The sequence below is a fragment of the Homo sapiens genome, chromosome 16 (genome assembly GCF_000001405.40).
Source record: "Homo sapiens chromosome 16, GRCh38.p14 Primary Assembly".
In the NCBI taxonomy this organism is placed as follows: Eukaryota; Metazoa; Chordata; class Mammalia; order Primates; family Hominidae; genus Homo; species Homo sapiens.
The window spans coordinates 24,306,952-24,325,501 of NC_000016.10; the positions used below are offsets into that span (position 1 = coordinate 24,306,952).

The 18,550-nt window shown below is 46.0% G+C and overlaps 1 protein-coding gene across 1 annotated transcript in view, besides 1 other annotated feature; it reads left to right on the forward strand.

The window, feature by feature from the left end:
• Positions 1-18,550, forward strand: part of CACNG3 (calcium voltage-gated channel auxiliary subunit gamma 3) — a 106,078-nt gene that overhangs the window by 50,617 nt on the left and 36,911 nt on the right. The gene's annotated exons all lie outside the window — the stretch shown is intronic.
• Positions 9,082-9,582: an enhancer, noted in NCBI's record as "H3K4me1 hESC enhancer chr16:24327354-24327854 (GRCh37/hg19 assembly coordinates)". NCBI's record gives its function as "activates a minimal SCP1, AML or CMV promoter by ChIP-STARR-seq in naive H9 embryonic stem cells {active_cell/tissue: H9 hESC(naive)}" and the evidence as "EXISTENCE:reporter gene assay evidence [ECO:0000049][PMID:30033119]".

Here is an 18,550-nt window from a genome sequence, read left to right on the forward strand (position 1 = left end):
ACTGATTCACAGTTGAGTGCCGCTCCGGGTACTGCTCTCAGCACAAAGGAGCTGCCTCAGCCAAGGTCACACCCGCTTCCCAGAGGCTTCCCACATCCAATAGCTGGGCAGTATGAGGGTATAGAGGTTCATCTAGCTTGCCTTCTTTCTGGACATCTCCAAATGCCATCTTTGCTGTTGTTGTTGTTGTGTTGTTTTCTTTTGTTTTGAGACAGGCTGGAGTGCAGTGGCGCGATCTCAGCTCACTGCAACTTCTGCCTCCCAGGTTCAAGCAATTCTCCTGCCTCAGCCTCCCAAGTAGCTGGGATAACAGGCACACACCACCATACCCAGCTAATTTTTGTATTTTTAGTAGAGACGGGGTTTCACCATGTTGGCCAGGTTGGTCTTGAACTCCTGACCTCAAGTGATCCACCCACCTCAGCCTCCCAAAGTGCTAGGATTACAGACATGAGCCACTTCAGCCAGCTTCCAAATGCCATCTTGACTCGAGTCTCCACAGGACTGGCTGAGTCCACTGTGACAACTGACAGCTGCATCACAGTCCTTCCTCTCCCTCTGTCTGGTCCTGCTTCCCCCTTCCTACAACATGGGGGTTCTTCCCAAGAGTCCATCCCAAAAAACCTCTGGTATGCAAATCTCTGTCCTAGAGTGTGTATTCTGGGGACAGAGTCTAAGACAACAGTCACCCACACACTAAAGTATGCTCCACTGTAAACTCTACCACAGCTCTCTCCATCATGCACCCAACAAATGGATGATGAACAGAGCAACTCAAGCCCCTCCATTTCTCTGTGCACCTCATGGAAGAACTGGAGGTCCCCATGCATAACAGAATGGTGGCGTGAAACATGGGGCCAGGGAAGAAATCCTGCCTGGTGGGTAATTTCATTGCATCGTTGGATCCTTTGCATTTCTGATTCATAACTCTACTTCTTGGGGTTGGTGGTATCTCCCAAGATGAGGTGGGCTGGGGTGGTCATTGTCCCTCCAGCAGCCCAGGGCTTGCAATAGAAGCATCTCTCTTTTTTGGTCCAATGGTGCAAGATCTGTGCTCTCTCATCTGCATCTGAGAAAGCAATGGGTTTGCAGAGACGGGCTGACTCCCCCACGGCACTCTGAACTGTTGATGTGTGGAGCCAACACTTAATTGCATCCAAAACTCCTGGGCATAAAACAGGATCTTTGACTGTGGATACTCAGAAAACATTGCTTGAATGAAGAGATGAGCAGGAACCTGGGAAAAAGTCTATAAACGGTGGAATGACCGCACTTGGTGGGTCATTCCTAGGTCACTCACCATATCATCAAGGAAAGCTGTCTATGCCCCTGGCAGAAGCACCCTGTCTAGTCCTCATTGCTTCCTGGACTAGATGTGACTGTTCCAGAAGCTGCCTACTCTTCTAGTGCCTGCAGCAATCTGAGGTGTGGAGGGCACTCCCATTTCCCTTCCCTGTGCTTGAGAATCTGTAGAAATTGTGCAACTTTGTGCTGCTGGGTTCCATCCATTGCCTCTGCAAGCCGTCCTTGCAGCTGGACAGTATTTACCTGCTTCTATATTCCTAAATCTTCTTGTGCAGGCCTGAACCCATTGTAAGCACTTAATTAATTAATATTATCAGGCCAGGCGCCGTGGCTCACACCTGTAATCCCAGCACTTTGGGAGGCCAAGGTGAGAGGATCGCTTGTGCTCAGGAATTCAAAACCAGCCTGGGCAACTCCATCTCTACAAAAGATTTAAAAATTAGCCAGCCATGTTGGCATGTGCCTCCCAGCTACTTAGGAGACTGAGGTGGGAGGATTGCTTGAGCCCAGGAGTTCAAAGCTGCAGTGAGTGCTGATGTCACCACTGTGTTCCAGCCTGGCTGATGGAGTGAGAACCTACCTCAAAAAAAAAAAAAAAAAAAAAAAAAAAAGAAAAGAAAAAAGAAAAAGATAACTAATTAATATTATCATTAGTAAAAGTGAACAATTTAAAAATATTTACTATGTGCCACTGGCCTGGCTACATTTCTTGAATTGGCTCACTTAACCCTTCACAGCAGCCCTTTAGATAGTTATTCTCATTTTGCAGTTGTGGAAACTAAGACACAGATGTGTCAAGCAATCTGCCTAAGGTTACACAGCTAATAAAGCAGTGGCGGCTGGCTCTGAGTGCAGGCACTTAACCATTGTTCGATTATCTCTCCAATGCGCACAAAGTTAAGGCATTTGAACAAAGAGATAAGGACTAATAAGTATGCAGAGTAGAAAAAGAAGGCAGCAAATAAATGACATCTACTGCCTAATATGCACAAGGTGCATCCCATACTTTATGTCTTTTACTTCCAACAGCTGTGCTATGAGATAAGGGAGTCTCAGAGAGGTTAAGTAACTTGCCCAAGGTCATCACAGCAAGCACCAGAGCCAGGATTCTAATGCAGGCTTCCTGGCACCTGTCAGAGTCACTTCACTCTTTACAAAAAGCTATGAGCCACACAATGTTTCCAGCATGAGAGAGCCACCACATAAGCTTCTACCTCAGGTTGTGACCTCCTGGCGGGCTGCCACATGACTCATTTGTCTTGGTTTTGCACACAGTTCCAAGCACAATGCCTATTGAGTGAGCAGATGAATTACAATTCACGTACTTTCATGCAGGGGTGCCTGGTGCCTGGTGGGATTTGGTGGAAACAGTGCAACGACATGCTGTGAAAGTGATGATTTCTCCACAAAGCAGTAAGAATAATCTTTTTACAGAGTAAATCAGATCATGTCCTGCCATGGGACGGCAGAGAGGGCCTCTCTGAAGAGGTGACATTTTGAACTGAGACCTGAGTGGGAATACAGAGGAGGAGATGTATTCCAGGCAGAGGGCGTGGCGCATGCTAAGGCCCTGGGGTAGTAAGGAGCCTGGGTGTGACCAAGGGGGTCGGGATGAGGGCTGGACAGTGGACAAGAGCTGGATCACAGAAGGTGTCATGCTACATCGCGGGGACTTCAGACGTAATTTTAAATAGGACAAAAAGCCACTAGAGGGCTTTAAAGCCATGGAGTCATGTGAAGTGGCTTTGTGTGTGCGTGTGTGAAATGTCACTATGAGAAAGAAATGAGCAAGACCAGAAGCAGAGTGATCACAAAGGAGATTGCTGGGGCCATCCAGGTAAGGAATGGCGATGGCTTGGGCCAGCATGAGGGAGGGAAGGATTCCGAAGAGAGACTATGCTTTGCAGACTGAGTTAACAGACTCTGTGGACAAATTCAATGTTTGAAAGTCAGAGAAAAGATATCGAGAAGTCAGCTCTTCAGAGTGAGTCAGCAATGAAAATAGCTCTTATTTAAACAGTGTTAAGCTGGGCACAGTGGCTCACGCCTGTAATCCCAGCACTTTGGGAGGCCAAGGTGGGCGGATCACTTGAGGTCAGGAGTTCAAGACCAGCCTGGCCAACATGACAAAACCCTGTCTCTACTAAAAATACAAAAATTAGCCGGGTGTGGTGGCGCATGCCTGTAATCCCAGCTACTTGGGAGGCTGAGGCAGGAGAATCTCTTGAGCCCAAGAGATGGAGGTTGCAGTGAGTCGAGATTGCACCACTGCACTCCAGCCTGGGTGGCAGAGCGAGACTCCATCTCAAAAACAAACAAACAAACAAACCAAAATAGTGTTTATGACATGCCTGGCACTGTTCTAATCATTTAACATATATTACCTCATTTAATCCTCACAAAGCCCCTGTGAGATAGGTATTGTTGTTAACCCCATTTTACAGATTAGGGAAATTGAGGCACAGAGTGGTTAAGTGACTCACCCAAGGTCACATACCTGGTAGGGGGTGCTGCTGGGATTTGAACCTGGATAGTCTGCCTCTAGAGTCTATACATCGGAATTTCACCCTGTATTCTCCCCACAGAGGAATGTTCATTCAACAGGAAGTTTTCTGGGCTCCCCGCATCCTTCCCTGAGCCTCTCAGTCAGTATGCACAAATTGGCTCCAGGAAGCTACTCTGCTGAAGATGTTTGAGGTCCAATGGAGGCAAACATTCCTCCAGGACACAGTCTAGACAATGTCCCTGCACCCGTTTCCATGTTGGGAAGCAGGAAGCCAGCCCAGGGGCACTTGGGTTGTCCCCATTAACCACAGTGTGAAGCAAAAGTTAAGAGCAAAAGCTCTACAGATAGATCCAAGGCAATTTACAAGATCTCTGTGTGTCCCAATTTTGTCATCTGTAAAACGCGGACAGTGTTAATATCCCATGGGGTTATTATGAGTTAGTGTGTGTAAGGTGCCATTAAAAAGTACCAAGTGCGGTGGCTCACGCCTGTAATCCCAGCACTTTGGGAGGCCGAGGAGGGTGAATCACCTGAGGTCGGGAGTTTAAGACCACCCTGGCCAACATGGTGAAACCCCATTTCTACTGAAAATACAAAAATTAGCCAGCATGGTGGCACCACCTGTAGTCCCAGCTACTCAGGAGGCTGAGGCAGGAGAATCACTTGAACCTGGGAGGCAGAAGTTGTAGTGAGCTGAGATTGTGCCACTGCACTACAGCCTGGGTGACAGAACAAGACTACATTTCAAAAAAAAAAAAAGTGCTAAGTACATTCTAAAAGCTTTTACAGTATGTGATAAAGAAATTAAATGGGCCTGGCGTGGTGGCTTACACCTGTAATCCCAACACTTTGGGAGGCCCAGGCAGGCAGATCATCTGAGGTCAGGAGTTCAAGACCAGCCTGGCCAACCTGGTGAAACCCCATCTCTACTAGAAATACAAAAATTAGCTGGGCATGGTGGCGGATGCCTGTAATCCCAGCTATTTGGGAGGCTGAGGCAGGAGAATCACTTGAACCTGGGAGGTGGAGGTGAGCCCATATTGTGCCACTGCACTCCAGCCTGGGCGACAGAGCAAGACTCCATCTCAAAAAATAAATAAACAAATAAAATTAAATGGTGGTAAGTAAAGGCACAAAGGAAAGAGACGGTGCTTCTCCAAGCCAGGACTATCGTCCACAGACCAGGGTATTTCTGGTCATGATCAATCATCACGTCTGTCCCTGGACCTGACCTATTTGATTTGAGAAAATGTTAGAGTCAGCCTGCACCAGTCTGCTCTCAGTATGGAATCAGAGTCAACAAGAAGGAATGATGGAGCCAGACATTTGTGGCTGAGGCTGAGCAGCAATGAGCAGTGAAGAAATGTGGTTTGTGCTTGGTTCACAGTGTGCCGGTGGGGAAGCTGCAGGTCTAACATGTATCTGAGGGAGAACCCAGACCACTGGATGTCTCCGCTCTGCTATGCCACAAGTCCCTCCAACTCTTCCTGTCATAACTGAGCCGAGCATCTGCTCCTGTCCCATCTATCCTCCCCATCTATGCTCCTTTTCCTGATTTGGTGAATTGCATAATGAAAAGAAATACAAAGAGTATGACGTCCAAAGTCAGATTACCTGGGTTCTAAACCTAGCTCTGTCACTTGTTAGCTGTGCTCTTTAGCATAAGTTCCTTATCCTCTCTGTGCCTGTTTTCTCATCTGTAAAAAAAAATGGGTGATAATAATAGTTATCTTCTGGAGCTGTTGTGAGGACTAAATGAAAGTATGCTTCTGGCCAGGCACGGTGGCTCACACCTATAATCCCAGCACCCTGGGAGGTTAAAGCAGGAGGATAGCTTGAGGTCAAGAATTTGAGACCAGCCTGGTAAACATACCAAGACTCTGTCTCTTAAAAATTTTTTTTTTAATTAGCCAGACACTGTGGCACACACCTGCAGTCCCAGCTACTTGGGAGACTGAGGCAGGAGAATCACTTGAGCCCTGGAGTTCAAGGCTGCAGTGAGCTATGATCCCACCACTGTACTCCAGCCCTGGACCACAGAGTGAGACCTTGTCTGAAAAAAGGCAGGGCAGAGCTGGGCAAGACAGGGTGAAAGAAAGAAAGAAGGAAGGAAAGAAAAAAAAGAAAGAAAAGGAAAGAAAGAAGGAAGGAAGGAAGGAAGAAAGAAAGAAAGAAAGAAAGAAAGAAAGAAAGAGAAAGAAAGAAAAGAAAGAAAGAAATAAAAGAAAGAAAGAAAGAAAGAAAAAGAGAGAAAGAGAGAGAGGAAGGAAAGAAGAGAAAGAGAGGGAGAGAGAGAGAAAGCGAGGGAGGGAGGAAGGAAGGAAGGAAGGAAGGAAGGAAGGAAGGAAGCTTCTGTCATCCAGTAAGCACTGAATAAATAGTAATTAATGTGTATAAGCCATTAGTCTTTTTAAAAAATAACAGTAGCTAGAACATATTCATTAAAACATTCACTATTCCAAGAACTTTTTATAGTGAACTCCTTTATTTCTCAAAACAACCCTCTGAGATAAATCCTATTATTAGCTCCAATTTACAGAAGAGGAAAATGAAACTCAGAAAGGCCAAACAACGTGCCCCAGGTCACACAGCTTGAAGTAATACAGTTGGGATTTAAACTTGGACACTCTGGCTCCAGAGTCTAAGCTCATAAACCCTACACTAAGTTGTCTCAAGAGTTCCTTTCGGCACTTTTATGTTTTTGATTTTTTTATTTTTTACTTATTTATATTTGTTTTTAGAGACAGTAACTCACTCTGTGTCTCAGGCTGAAGTGCAGTGGCACGATCATAGCTCACTACAGCCTCAACCTCCACAAGTGATTCTCCTGGCTCAGCCTCCTGAGCCAGGCACATGTCACCACACCCAGCTAACTTATATACAGACAAGGTCTTATAATTTTCTCCAGGCTGGTCTCAAACTCCTGGCTTCAAATGGTGCTCCTGCCTCAGCCTCCCAAAGTGACTTTTATGTTTTTATTTATTTATTTATTTATTTTTTGAGATGCAATCTGGTTCTGTCGCCCAGGCTGGAGGGCAGTGGTGTGATCTCGGCTCACTGCAACCTCCATCTCCTAGGTTCAAGTGATTCTCCTGCCTCAGCCTCCCGAGTAGCTGGGATTACAGGTGCGCACCACCACACCTGGCTAATTTTTGTATTTTTAGTAGAGACAGGATATCGCCATGTTGGCCAGGCTGGTCTTGAACTCGTGGCCTCAAGTCATCCACCCGCCTCAGCTTCCCAAAGTGCTGGGATTCCCAAAGTGCTCATCACACCTGGCCTTATGTTTTTAAAAACGTTTACTTTTCTACACCCTTCAGGATAAATGAAAAAATGAAACTGGCCAAAAAGACAGATCTAGCAGTTTTTCATGTGCTAAAACAGTTTTCCTCAAGGTATGCTTGTCATGGGTTACTGGTGTGCTGAGCAGGACCAGTACATAATTTATGGGGTCCAGCACGAAATGAAAATGGGGAGCCTTTGGTTCAAAAAAGTGTTAAGAATTTCAAGAGAGTGACAGACAGTAGAGCACTAAATGAAGCCAGAGACGCTTCTCAGTGTGGGACCTCGCATAACTAGTCAGGCAGAAGTCGCAGCTTCTTATGCAGAAGTAAGAATCCCCTTGGCCCTCAGGTCAGTCCAGCAGCCACGGGTGATCGAGCTCCAGGCCAGCTGCCTAAGGGCTGTGAGCAGCCTTGACCTTTCTCCCAATGCACCTTGATGTGAAAAAGGAAGGAAGCCTTGTGCTCGTGGATGAATCTGGACAGCAGGCTCTTCTCTAGTCTCCAGCACATCTGAACCAAAGCCCAGTTCTGAAAAGAAAAAGATTTATTAACCATCAAAATGTTCTGCATGTGTGGGTTGCCACAACCCTCACGGTATAGATATATATGTCCCTGTGTTTCCACCGACTCCCAGCAGACATGTGGCAGCTACATTTTGAAGCCTGGCAAATTCTCCTAGGACTCTCGCCTCCTCCTCCTCCTCCTCCTCCTCCTCCTCCTCCTCCAACCTCCACCTACTCTCCTTCATTTTCATGCCTTCCAGGAGTCCCACACAATCAGGAAACCCAAGTAGGTGACAGGAGGATGGAAAATAGGGGCTGCAGGTTCCGAGGGTTATGATGATCGAAAAACCAGAGTCCCTGAGCTTGCAAGTCTGTGAATCCCTTGGGCCACTGCATAAAGAAGCTGTGAGCTTGTGCAAGATAGTTTTATTCTCCACCTGGGTTCCTCAGGAGGCTCCTGGAACATGGAGGTGTCTTGCCCACCTGACAGTCAAAAGGACTTGGTTCTAGCAGGGAACAATGACCAGCCAGTGGCTGGTGCTGCCACTTCCCTGACATTAGCATCCCTGGTGCCTTTGCAATGCCTCTCAGAATTATTTTTGGAAATCTATTAAATCAACAAGTATTCACTGTGTGATGTACCTGAGGGCCGGGCCATAGTGTCCTACTGCCAACTGGTTTTGCACCTTTCACCAAAGTTTACCCATCTCTGCATCTCACCCAGACATTCGGCAGGGGGAAGGGTCTCCTCCGAATCCTAGGAAGGGATGTTTGGACTCCTGGGGTTTACTTCCCAAGCTGCCAGAACACACCTATCACATCACTCCTTCCTACTCTGATTACCACCCTCAACCTCACCATCATCATCTCTCCCTCCCTCCCTCCCTCCCTGCCTTCCTTCCTTCCTTCTTTCCTTCCTTCCTTTCTCTCTCTCTTTCTTTCTTTTCCTGCTTTCTTTCTTTCTTTTCCTTCTTTCTTTCTTTCTTTTTCCTTTTTTTCTTTTCTTCTTTCTTTCTTTTCTTTCTTTCTTCTCTTTCTTTATCTCTTTCTTTGTCTCTCTTTCTTTCTTTCTTTTTCTCTCTCTTCCTTTCTCTCTCTCTCTCTCATTCTCTCTTTCTTTCTTCTTTTAACAGTCTTACCCTGTTGCTGAGGCTGGGATGCAGTGGCATGATCTTGGCTCACTGTAACTTTCACCTCTTCCCAGGTTCAAGCAATTCCCCTGCCTCAGTCTCCCAAGTAGCTGGGATTACAGGCATCCACTACAATGCCCAGCTAATTTTTGTGTTTTTAGTAGAGATGGGATATCTCCAGGTTGGCCTGACTGGTCTTGAACTCCTGACCTCAAGTGATCTGCCTGCCTTGGCCTCCCAAAATGCTGGAGTTACAGGTGTGAGCCACTGTGCCCGGCCCATCATCTTAATTAATAACACTTATTGAGCATGTACTATGTGCCAGGCAGCATGCCAGGCACTTCACAGATATTGTCTCATTTAATGCTACAGCAAATTAGTGAGCCCGTATTATTATTATCCCTATTTCACAGAGGAGGAAGCTGAGGTTCAGAGAGTGTAAGCAAGTTGTCCAAGATAACACACCCTGGAAGCCAGGCTATCGCCATCACTTTAACATCCCTGCTTTGGGGGACTCTCAGGAACCGTCTGGACTTTATCCATCATGCAGGGCACCAAGAGCAAGCACAGCTCTCCTTTCTCACCTCCTCTTCCAATCCCTGGCAGCAGCCCTCCCCATTGTCGGAGCTATGCCATCCCCTGAAACATGCCCCCACGCCTTCCCAGGGCAGCACCCTCACTGAGGACCAGGCTTGGCCTGTCCTTCAAGCCCCACCCCAAATGTCCGGCACACTGAGAGCATTCTCTGCCTGCTCTAAAGTGGACTCTGTGAGTCTGTGTTCTCTCTCCTCAGTGAGACAAAGCTCCTGCGGGAAGGACATGGCCTGCTTTTCTGTGTCCCCCACAGAGCCAGCATGGCGTGGGCACCATGTTGCTTACTGGGGCATCAACTGATTGATTCATCTGTGGCTTCCCGGTGCTCTGGGCACCTTCCCAGTCCTCCTCACAGCAGCCCCAGTTGAGACACCCCCAGACTCCACTGCACTCCCCAAAGACCTCAGGGCCTCTGACCAGACCCAGGCTGACCCAGGCTGTCCCTTCCCCACCCTTGGCTCCTGGAAGTGAGTGACACGGTTTGGCCCAGTTAATCTGGCTTCCCCCAAGTTCCTGACACAGTGGCCCCATGTGGAGTGGAAACAAACAGACCTGGTGGAAATTCCAAACTAACAGCATATTTCAAAAAGACCTTTGTTCAAATTCCAGCCTTGCTGCTTGGCTGGGTCACCCTTAAATAACTTCCACGAGTGTTAGTGTCCTCGCCAGTGAAATATGGATTAGAATGCACAGCGAATCACATAGCAGGGAGAAAATCTAATATAATACCTAGGACAGAGGCATCATGACACCAGTTTCCTACATAGGGAACTCCTGTGAATAAAAGGGTCCCATGAGTGACCCTCCAGGCTACATAGTAACTGTCATCATCATTATTGCCCACACATCCCATGTCTCAGGGGCATGCTAGGTGCTTTATATTATCTCATATAATAGGTCATTCCGATTTTCCAATTGAGGAAACTGAAGCTTAGAGATGTTGAGAAATTCAAACAAGGTTACATGGGTAAGAAGGTGTAGAAGCAAGCCGGACTTGGTGGCTCCCACCTGTAATCCCAGCACTTTGGGAGGCCAAAACGGGCGGATCACTTAAGGTCAGGAGTTTGAGAACAGCCTGGCCAACATGGTGAAACCCCATCTCTACTAAAAAATACAAAATTAGCCAGGTGTGGTGGTGCATAACTGTAATCCTAGCTACTCAGGAGGCTGAGGCACGAGAATTGCTTGAGCCCAGAAGGCAGAGGTTGCAGAGAGCTGAATCAAGCCACTGCCTCCAGCTTGGGTGACAGAGGGAGATTCTGTCTCAAAAAAAAAAAAGAAAAAGAAAGAAAGAAAGAAAGAAAGAAAGAAAGAAAGAAAGAAAGAAAGAAAGAAAGAAAGAAAGAAAGAAAGACAGACAGAAAGAAAGAAAAGAAAAGAAAGAAAGAAAGAAAGAAAGAAAGAAAGAAAGAAAGAAAGAAAGAAAGAAAGAAAGAAAGAAAAGAAAGAAAAGAAAAAAGAAATGCTGAACCTCGGGTCCCACCCCAGACCTGCTGAATCAGATCCTCTTGAGTTATGGCCCAGGAATCTGAAGCCAACCTCCCTCTGACCCCCACTCCTAGGGATTCTGCACCCCCTGAAGCTTCAGAAGTGCTTCCTTGAAGATGGGGTGATGAGAGGTGAGAATTCCAGCCTCTGGGCCTGTGCACTTGCTGGTCACTCAGCCCAGATGCTCTCCCGCTCATCTTAATGTGGCTGCTCATGCTTGGCATTTGGTCTCAGCCCAGATGCCCCTTCTCTGAGAGGCTTCCCTGACCTCCCACTGTGACAGGCTATCCTGCCTCCTTGTTTATTTCCTTCATATGATCCTTCTCCATCTCTCCCATATTCACAAAGGCAGGAGCTTTGTCCCTCAGCATCCCTAGAGCTGGGTATGGTGCTTAACACGTAGGAGGCACTCAGTATATCCTTTTGTATTTTTTTTTTCATTTTTCTTGAGATGGAGTCTCACTCTGTCACCCAGGCTGGAGTGCAGTGGCACTATCTCAGCTCACTGCAACCTCCATCTCCCAGGTTCAAGCCATTCTCCTGCCTCAGCCTCCCAGGTAGCTGGGACTACAGGCATGTGCCACCACACCTGGCTAATTTTTGTATTTTTAGTAGAGATGGGGTTTCACCATGCTGGCCAGGCTGGTCTCAAAGTCCTGACCTCAGGTGATTCTCCCACCTTGGCCTCACAAAGTGCTGAGATTACAGGCATGAATTACCGCACCCGGCCTGTATATCCTTTTTCGAATGAATGAATGAAAAAACAGCAGCTTCTTGCCTAGTGCCCAGACCCTGGGGTCTCACTTCCAGCCAAAACAAGCTACTAGGCTCACCACCCTCTGGTCATACTATGGCACCTCCCAGCGATAGTGGCTCAAGGATAATAAATGTCCTTGTGATTACAGTTCAACAGGACACCTCCTGTTGCAGGTGGGGTCACATGTTACCAAGTAGTTTTGGGCATATTCTGGGTGCTCTAACCAGAGGAAGGGCAGCTGTTAATGCTGTTCCTTGAAGCATGGATTATCTGTGCTACCTACCTCAGGTTGAAGGGGTTGGGGGCTAACTAGTCCCTTCCTTCTACCAGGCAGGCAACCCCACCAGTAGGAGGCTCCCTGGCTGCAGGTAGCATCTACCAAGGCTGCTATGTGGCATCCGGACAAGGCATTAAATAAGATCTCACCACATGGTGAGAAAGCTATTTCCTTTTCAATTCATGGTATCTGGCTGGAATTTAATAAAATCATTTTGTTTTCATTGTGTTTATTTTTACAGTGGCCTTCTATTTACAGCCAGAGATACTCACTTTCCATTTACAGTTGGGTTATAAAGTTTCCTTTGAAAATAAATTTAAGTTAAAAAAGAAACCGGGTTGATTTAAAGAGTGTCAACCTAAATGACAGAGAGGAAAATGCTTCAAAAGAAAATGACGTTTATTAGGGAATAGGCATTGCAATGGGAATACAGGTGCCATAGTGAACTATGCGCATATTTAGGCAGGGAGGTAAAGGAAGACAAAGGTTTTTAAAGGAAAAATCAGGGGGATTGTGTAATTGTTTTGAGATAGTTATCCTTGGCTACAAGGATGAATAACAAGGGTGGTGCCAGTTCGAGGTTGGACAGGCAGTTGCTGGGAAGATGTCCTCGTAAAAGTATTTTTTGTGTGTGTAAGGTTGCAATGGTCTTTGTGCAAAGTTATGGTTTTTGCAAGAGAAGAGGTCTTGCTTTGTCTCCCAGGCTGGAGTGCAGTGGTGTGATCATGGCTTACTGCAGACTTGACCTCCTGGCCTCAATCAACAACAGGGACAATAGGCATGTGCCATGCCTGGCTTTTATTTATTTATTTATTTATTTAATTTATTTATTTATTTTCATAGAGATAGAGTCTTGCTGTGTTGCCCAGGCTGGTCTTGTACTCTTGGCCTCAAGCAATCCTTCTGCCTCAGCCTCCCAGAATTCTGGGATTACAGGCATGAACCACCATGCCCAGACTTGTCAGGGTTATTTTTGTTTGTTTGTTTTGTTTTTAAAGAGAGTCTCACTCTGTTGCCCAGGCTGGAGTGCAGTGGCACAATCTCTGCTCACTACAACCTCCGCCTCATGGGTTCAAGCGATTCTCCTGCCTCAGCCTCCCAAGGAGCTGGGACTACAGGTGCACACCACCATGCCCCGCTAATTTTTGCATTTTTAGTAGAGATGGGGTTTCACCATGTTGGCCAGGCTGGTCTCGAACTCCTAACCAAGTGATCTGCCTGCCTTGACCTCCCAAAGTGCTGGGATTGTTAGGGTTTTTAACACAAGTGACTCCATTTTTATTCTGACAACTTTCACAAGAGAAATGTAACATAAATGTTAAAGCATGTGACATAAATATATGGAGAAAAGCATAAAAACTGGGGAATGCGTGATCTGCTGTGCTCATTATGGTATAGGTCCACAGTCTCATACTCAGATGCGTTTCAGAAATTCAAATGTTTAGGATTTTACAAAGGCATGAGGGTTCATTTACCACAGATAACTTAACACCCCCGGGCAGCACCCTGCAGTCAGATGCATTCATTGCTCTGCAGCAAAACTTAGAAATAATCATAACAAGTGAAATAAATAAAGACCATGAATACTTTCCCAAGTCAGCTCAGGTCAGATTTTGCTCCCAAATAAGTCCATGTGATGACCTCACAGTTTGCTGCTGTATAAAATCCAAGGAACTTTTATTTTTTTCAGAGCTTTTTGGATTTCAGGAGCTTGGATAAGGGATTGTGGACCTTAGAAATAATGCTAATACTAATATACCAATACTATATTATTAATACAGTATTAGGACTAATACTAATCCTAGCTGAAAGTTAATGAGTATTTCACTGTGTTCTGTGCTTCACTTTCCTTGTTTTCAGTTACCTATGGTCAACTAAGTTTCGAAAATATTAAATGGAAAATTCCAGAAAGAAACAATTCATACGTTTTTCTTATTTTATTTTATTTTTTAGGGATGCAGTCTTGCTCTGTAGTCCAGGCTGGAACGCAGTGGCATGATCACGTCTCACTGCAGTCTCAACCCTTTAGACACAAGCAATCCTCCTGCCTCAGCCTCCCGATTAGCTGGGACCACAGGCATGCAACACTATGCCTAATAATTTTTTTTTTCATTTTGGGTAGAGAAAGGGTCTCACTATGTTGCCCAGGTTGGTCTCAAACTCCTGGCCTTGAATGGTCCTCTCACCTGAGCCTCCCAAAGCACTGAGATTACAGGTGTGAGCCAATGCACCTGGCCTAATTCATAAGTTTTAAACTGCACACTGTTCTGAGTAGTGTGATGAAATCTTGCACCATCCCACCCAGGATGTGAATCCTCCCTTGTCCCAAGTATCCACACTGTAGATGCTAACCACCTGTTAGTCACTTAACCGTTGGCTTGGTTATCAGGCCAGGCACAGTGGCTCACGCCTTTGTGTAATCCCAGCACTTTGGGAGGCTGAGGCGGGAGGATCACTTGAGGCCAAAATGGTGAAACCCTGTCTCTACTAAAAATACAAAAATTAACAGGGTATGGTGGCATGTGCCTGTAATCCCAGCTCCTCAGGAGGCTGAGGCAGGAGAATTGCTTGAACCTCAGAGGTTGCAATGAGCCGAGATCTCACCACTGCACTCCCGCCTGGGCAATGGAGTGAGACTCTGGCTCAAAAATAAATAAATAAATAAATAAAAATAAAAGAAATAGAAATAAAGAGTTGTCTCGGTTATCAGATGGATTGTGTTAGTATTACAGTGCTTGTGTTTAAGTAACCCTAGTTTTACTTAATAGCATCCCCAAAGCACAAGAGTAGTTATGCTTGCCATTCCAATACGCCAAAGAGAAGCTGTCAAGCGCTTCCTTTAAGTGAAAAGGTGAAAGTTCTTGACTTACAAAAGAAAAGAAAATCATCTATTGAGGTTGCTAAGATCTAGGGAAGGAATCTCCTATCCATGAAATTGTGAAAAGTAAATTCAGGCAAGTTTTGCTGTCACATCTCAAACTGCAAGAGTTATGGCCACAGTGAGTGATAACTTTCATGATGATATACTGCTATAATTGTGCTGTTTTATTAATTACTGTTGTTACTCTCTTACTGTGTAGAATTGATAAATTAAACATTATCATAGGTAGGTACGTAGAGGAAAAATCAGTATAAATAGGTTTTTGTACTATTCGCAGTTTCAGACATCCACTGGGGGTCTTGGAATGTATCCCGTGTGGATGAGAAGGGACTGCTGTATACCCGTGTACCAGATGAGGAAACTGAGGCCTCAAGCAGTTAAGTCACTTGCCAAAGTTATACAGCTAATTCAATGGGGGAACCTGAATTGGAAACCAGACAGGCGGGAGGAGGAGAGCAGGGAAGAGCCTGGAACTCAGACATAGCCACCCTCACCCCCACCCTGTGCCCCGCTGATGACTCTCACTCTCCCATTTGGATTGAAATGCTCACGTCAGCATCACTCCTTCGTTAGGTGAGGAAGGAGCACCGTCTCCAGATGCCCCGGGAGAACACCGCCCAGCCAGTGCCTGTGAATGACTCTATCAGGTCATTAGCGCCTCAAAGGAACCCCGGCCACCCTTGGGGACCTGCCACAAGCTGCCAAGAGAAGCTGGATGCTTCACAGCCACAGTTTCTCTTAGTCTTCTCCTCTGCCCCCTCCCCACTAAACACACTCTTTTTTCTCTTTAGTTGCCATTTTTATTGAACATACAAATCTCGTGCCAGGCAGTGCTTAGCTAAACATTTTCTTATGCATTAGCTCTGTTTTTAGAAGACTTTTACATTTGTAAAATACAAGAAAATGGAGCCAAAAAGAAAAAAAAAGTAAAACTCCCTCCTAAAGCACTTTTAAGAGGAGAGTGTAAGAAGCAAAAGTTTTTCCCCTTCTGCTTCTCAAATTCTACCCCCTCCCCAACCCACAGAGGTTCCTTAAAGTAACTTTCTCAGTCATTCCGTGTGCATATTGAGACATATCTATATTCATGTCTTTATCTGTGATTATGTCTATAATCTAAATCAATATCTACCTATTTTGCTATCAAGCCACAAAATACCTCTATACAGTTGCTCAGGTAGTGCACTGCTCAACTCCCAGGGCCACTATTCACATAACCAGCCTTGCAATCCACTCACATATATTTTTCGCCTTACAAAAATGAGATGAAGGCCAGGTGTGGCAGCTCACACCTGTAATCCTAGCACTTTGGGAGGTTGAGGTGGGAGGATTACTTGTGCTCAGGAATATGAGACCAGCCTGGGTAACATGGCAAGAGCCTGTCTCTACAAAAAACTTTTTAAACTAGCTGTGCATACTGGCAAATGCCTGTAGTCCCAGCTACTCAGGAAGCTGAGCTGGGAGGATCAGTTGAGCCTGGGAGGTTGAGGCTGCAGTGAGCCATAATTGAGCCACTACATTCAGCCTGGGCCACAGAGCAGGACTCAAAAAAAAAAAAAAAAAAAAAGAGAGAGAGAGAAAGAGAGAGATGAGGCCTTCCATATGGACATCTTTCTGGGTCATCAGATGGTCAGAACTTCCTCATTCTTTATGATTGCTGCCTATACTAGACCCTAGCATGGATGTATCTTAGTGAATCTAATCCTTCCCCTAATAAAGATTATCTAAGATGTTCCCAAGCTTTTTGATTTTTACAATGGCCTTTTAATACTCATAGCAGTCTTTTGAGGATAGCAGCATTACACCTATTTTAAACAAAGAAAACTGAAGCTCAGAGTGGTTGAATAACTAGCTCAAGGATGCAGTTACTAGGGGGTAGTACCAGGATGCAATCCCAGGTCGGTTTGACTTCATGTTGATATAAAGCAGTTGATACTGAGGTTGGATCACAGCAACGCTCAGTAAGTCAAGATCATCATTCCCACAGGTTGATACTAATAAATATAATAGACAAATGGAGTCATTACCTTTGCCTGGAAGGGCAGAGGGAAGAAGAATAAAACTTACTTAGCACTCAGAATGTGTCCAGCACCTTACCAGATGTCCTTCTTTTTGAGGCAGAGTGTCACTGTGGCCCAGGATGGAGGGCAGTGGAGTGATCTCAGCTCACTGCAACCTCCACCTCCCAGGTTCAAGCGATTCTTCTGCCTCAGTCTCCCGATGAGCTGGGATTACAGGTGCACACCACCACACCAGGCTAATTTGTTTATTTTTAGTTGAGATGGGGTTTCACCATGTTGACCAGGCTGGTCTCGAATTCCTGACCTCAGGAACTCCTGATCTGCCTGCCTCGGCCTCCTAAAGTGTTGGGATTACAGACGTGAGACAATGTACCCAGCCACTAGATTTCTTATATACATTTTTTATTGAATTCTCAAAGAGCCAGACAACAATAAAGCCTGTTAGAAAGACACTGCCATCCCTGTGTATAAAAAGCTGAAGTTCAATAAAGGTAAAGGTCCCAATGTCACACAGCAAGTGGTGGATCTGGGATTTGAACCCGCATCTGCCTTGCTTGTATTTCTAGTGGATACAGAATTCAGCCCACAAACCCAGGTGTGTGTGAATATAACTATTTTTCTGCAAGTGAACTTCATTTCTTAATTTCCTTGCTAAATCTGCCTCTTGCCTAGTTTTTCCACCTCATCTCCTAGTACCACTACTTACCCCAGCCATACACAGGCAAAAAGCATAGACATCACTGGTGCCTGTTTCCCCCACTCCCCAGACCCAACACACCAAGTCTCATTGGCTCTGCCTTCAAAAATATCATCGTAGCCAAAGGCAACAGCTTCTCCCACTTCCCCAGCTGCCAGTTTAGCTCAAATCACCATTGCCCCCACCCCAGATCATTCTCCATCTGGCAGCCTGAGGGACCATTTACAAAATGCATATCCTATCATATCACTCTCCTGCTTAATCCCTGAAAGCCCCATTGCCCTTGGAATAAATGCTCCTCAGTGGCCCATGTGCTCTCCCTCCTGTGGTCTCAGCCTTCTCTCAGCTTTTCTCTCCTTCTCCCTCTACTCTGCTGTTCCCTACTGGGTCTCTTCTGTTCCTCCATGCCCCAGCTTATGCTACTACAAGGCCAGCCCTTCCTCTTCCCTCTGCCTGCACTGCTTGCCCTGATTTGCAAGGGGGCTGTTTCTTTCCGCTTTCAACTCTCAGGCCACACAGCTCTCTCAAAGACCTCCTCCCTGCCTCATCACCCTGGGTCACTCTGAGCCCCTTATGTTGAGGGTCTTTTTAGCTCTGATTGCTGTTGGAAGTCATTTGTTCCATTGTCCTCCCCATCCCCTTTGAAGAACCAAGAGTGCTCTATGTCATGCCTGCGGAGCCACAGTGCCTGTAGAGATGCCAGGCACAGGGCAGATATTTACTGAGTGAAATGAATGAATGAATTTATGTTATGAGTTCTGTGTCTACTGGGGGAAGAGGGCAGGAATTTAATATCAGCCAATTCTTTAATCTTAGCCAATTCCTTCCCTTGAGGGGTGTCTAAATTCTGGGGGACAGCAGAGGTGGGTACATGTGGTCTGGATCATTGATCCATGACAGCATCTGCTGAGATGTTCTCATTCCCTGGGACAAAAGAAACATCATCAGGTACATGGGAACAAGGGTTAGGGGGACGTCAGTTAACATTCAGCAGAGTCACCCACCACCAACCTTTAGCCCACTCTATTCTCCCACACTCCTGAGATCAGAAACACTCGGGACCCTGGGAGCTCCCTTTCCCAAGTCCTAGGAGCCAGACCCCAGTGCTGG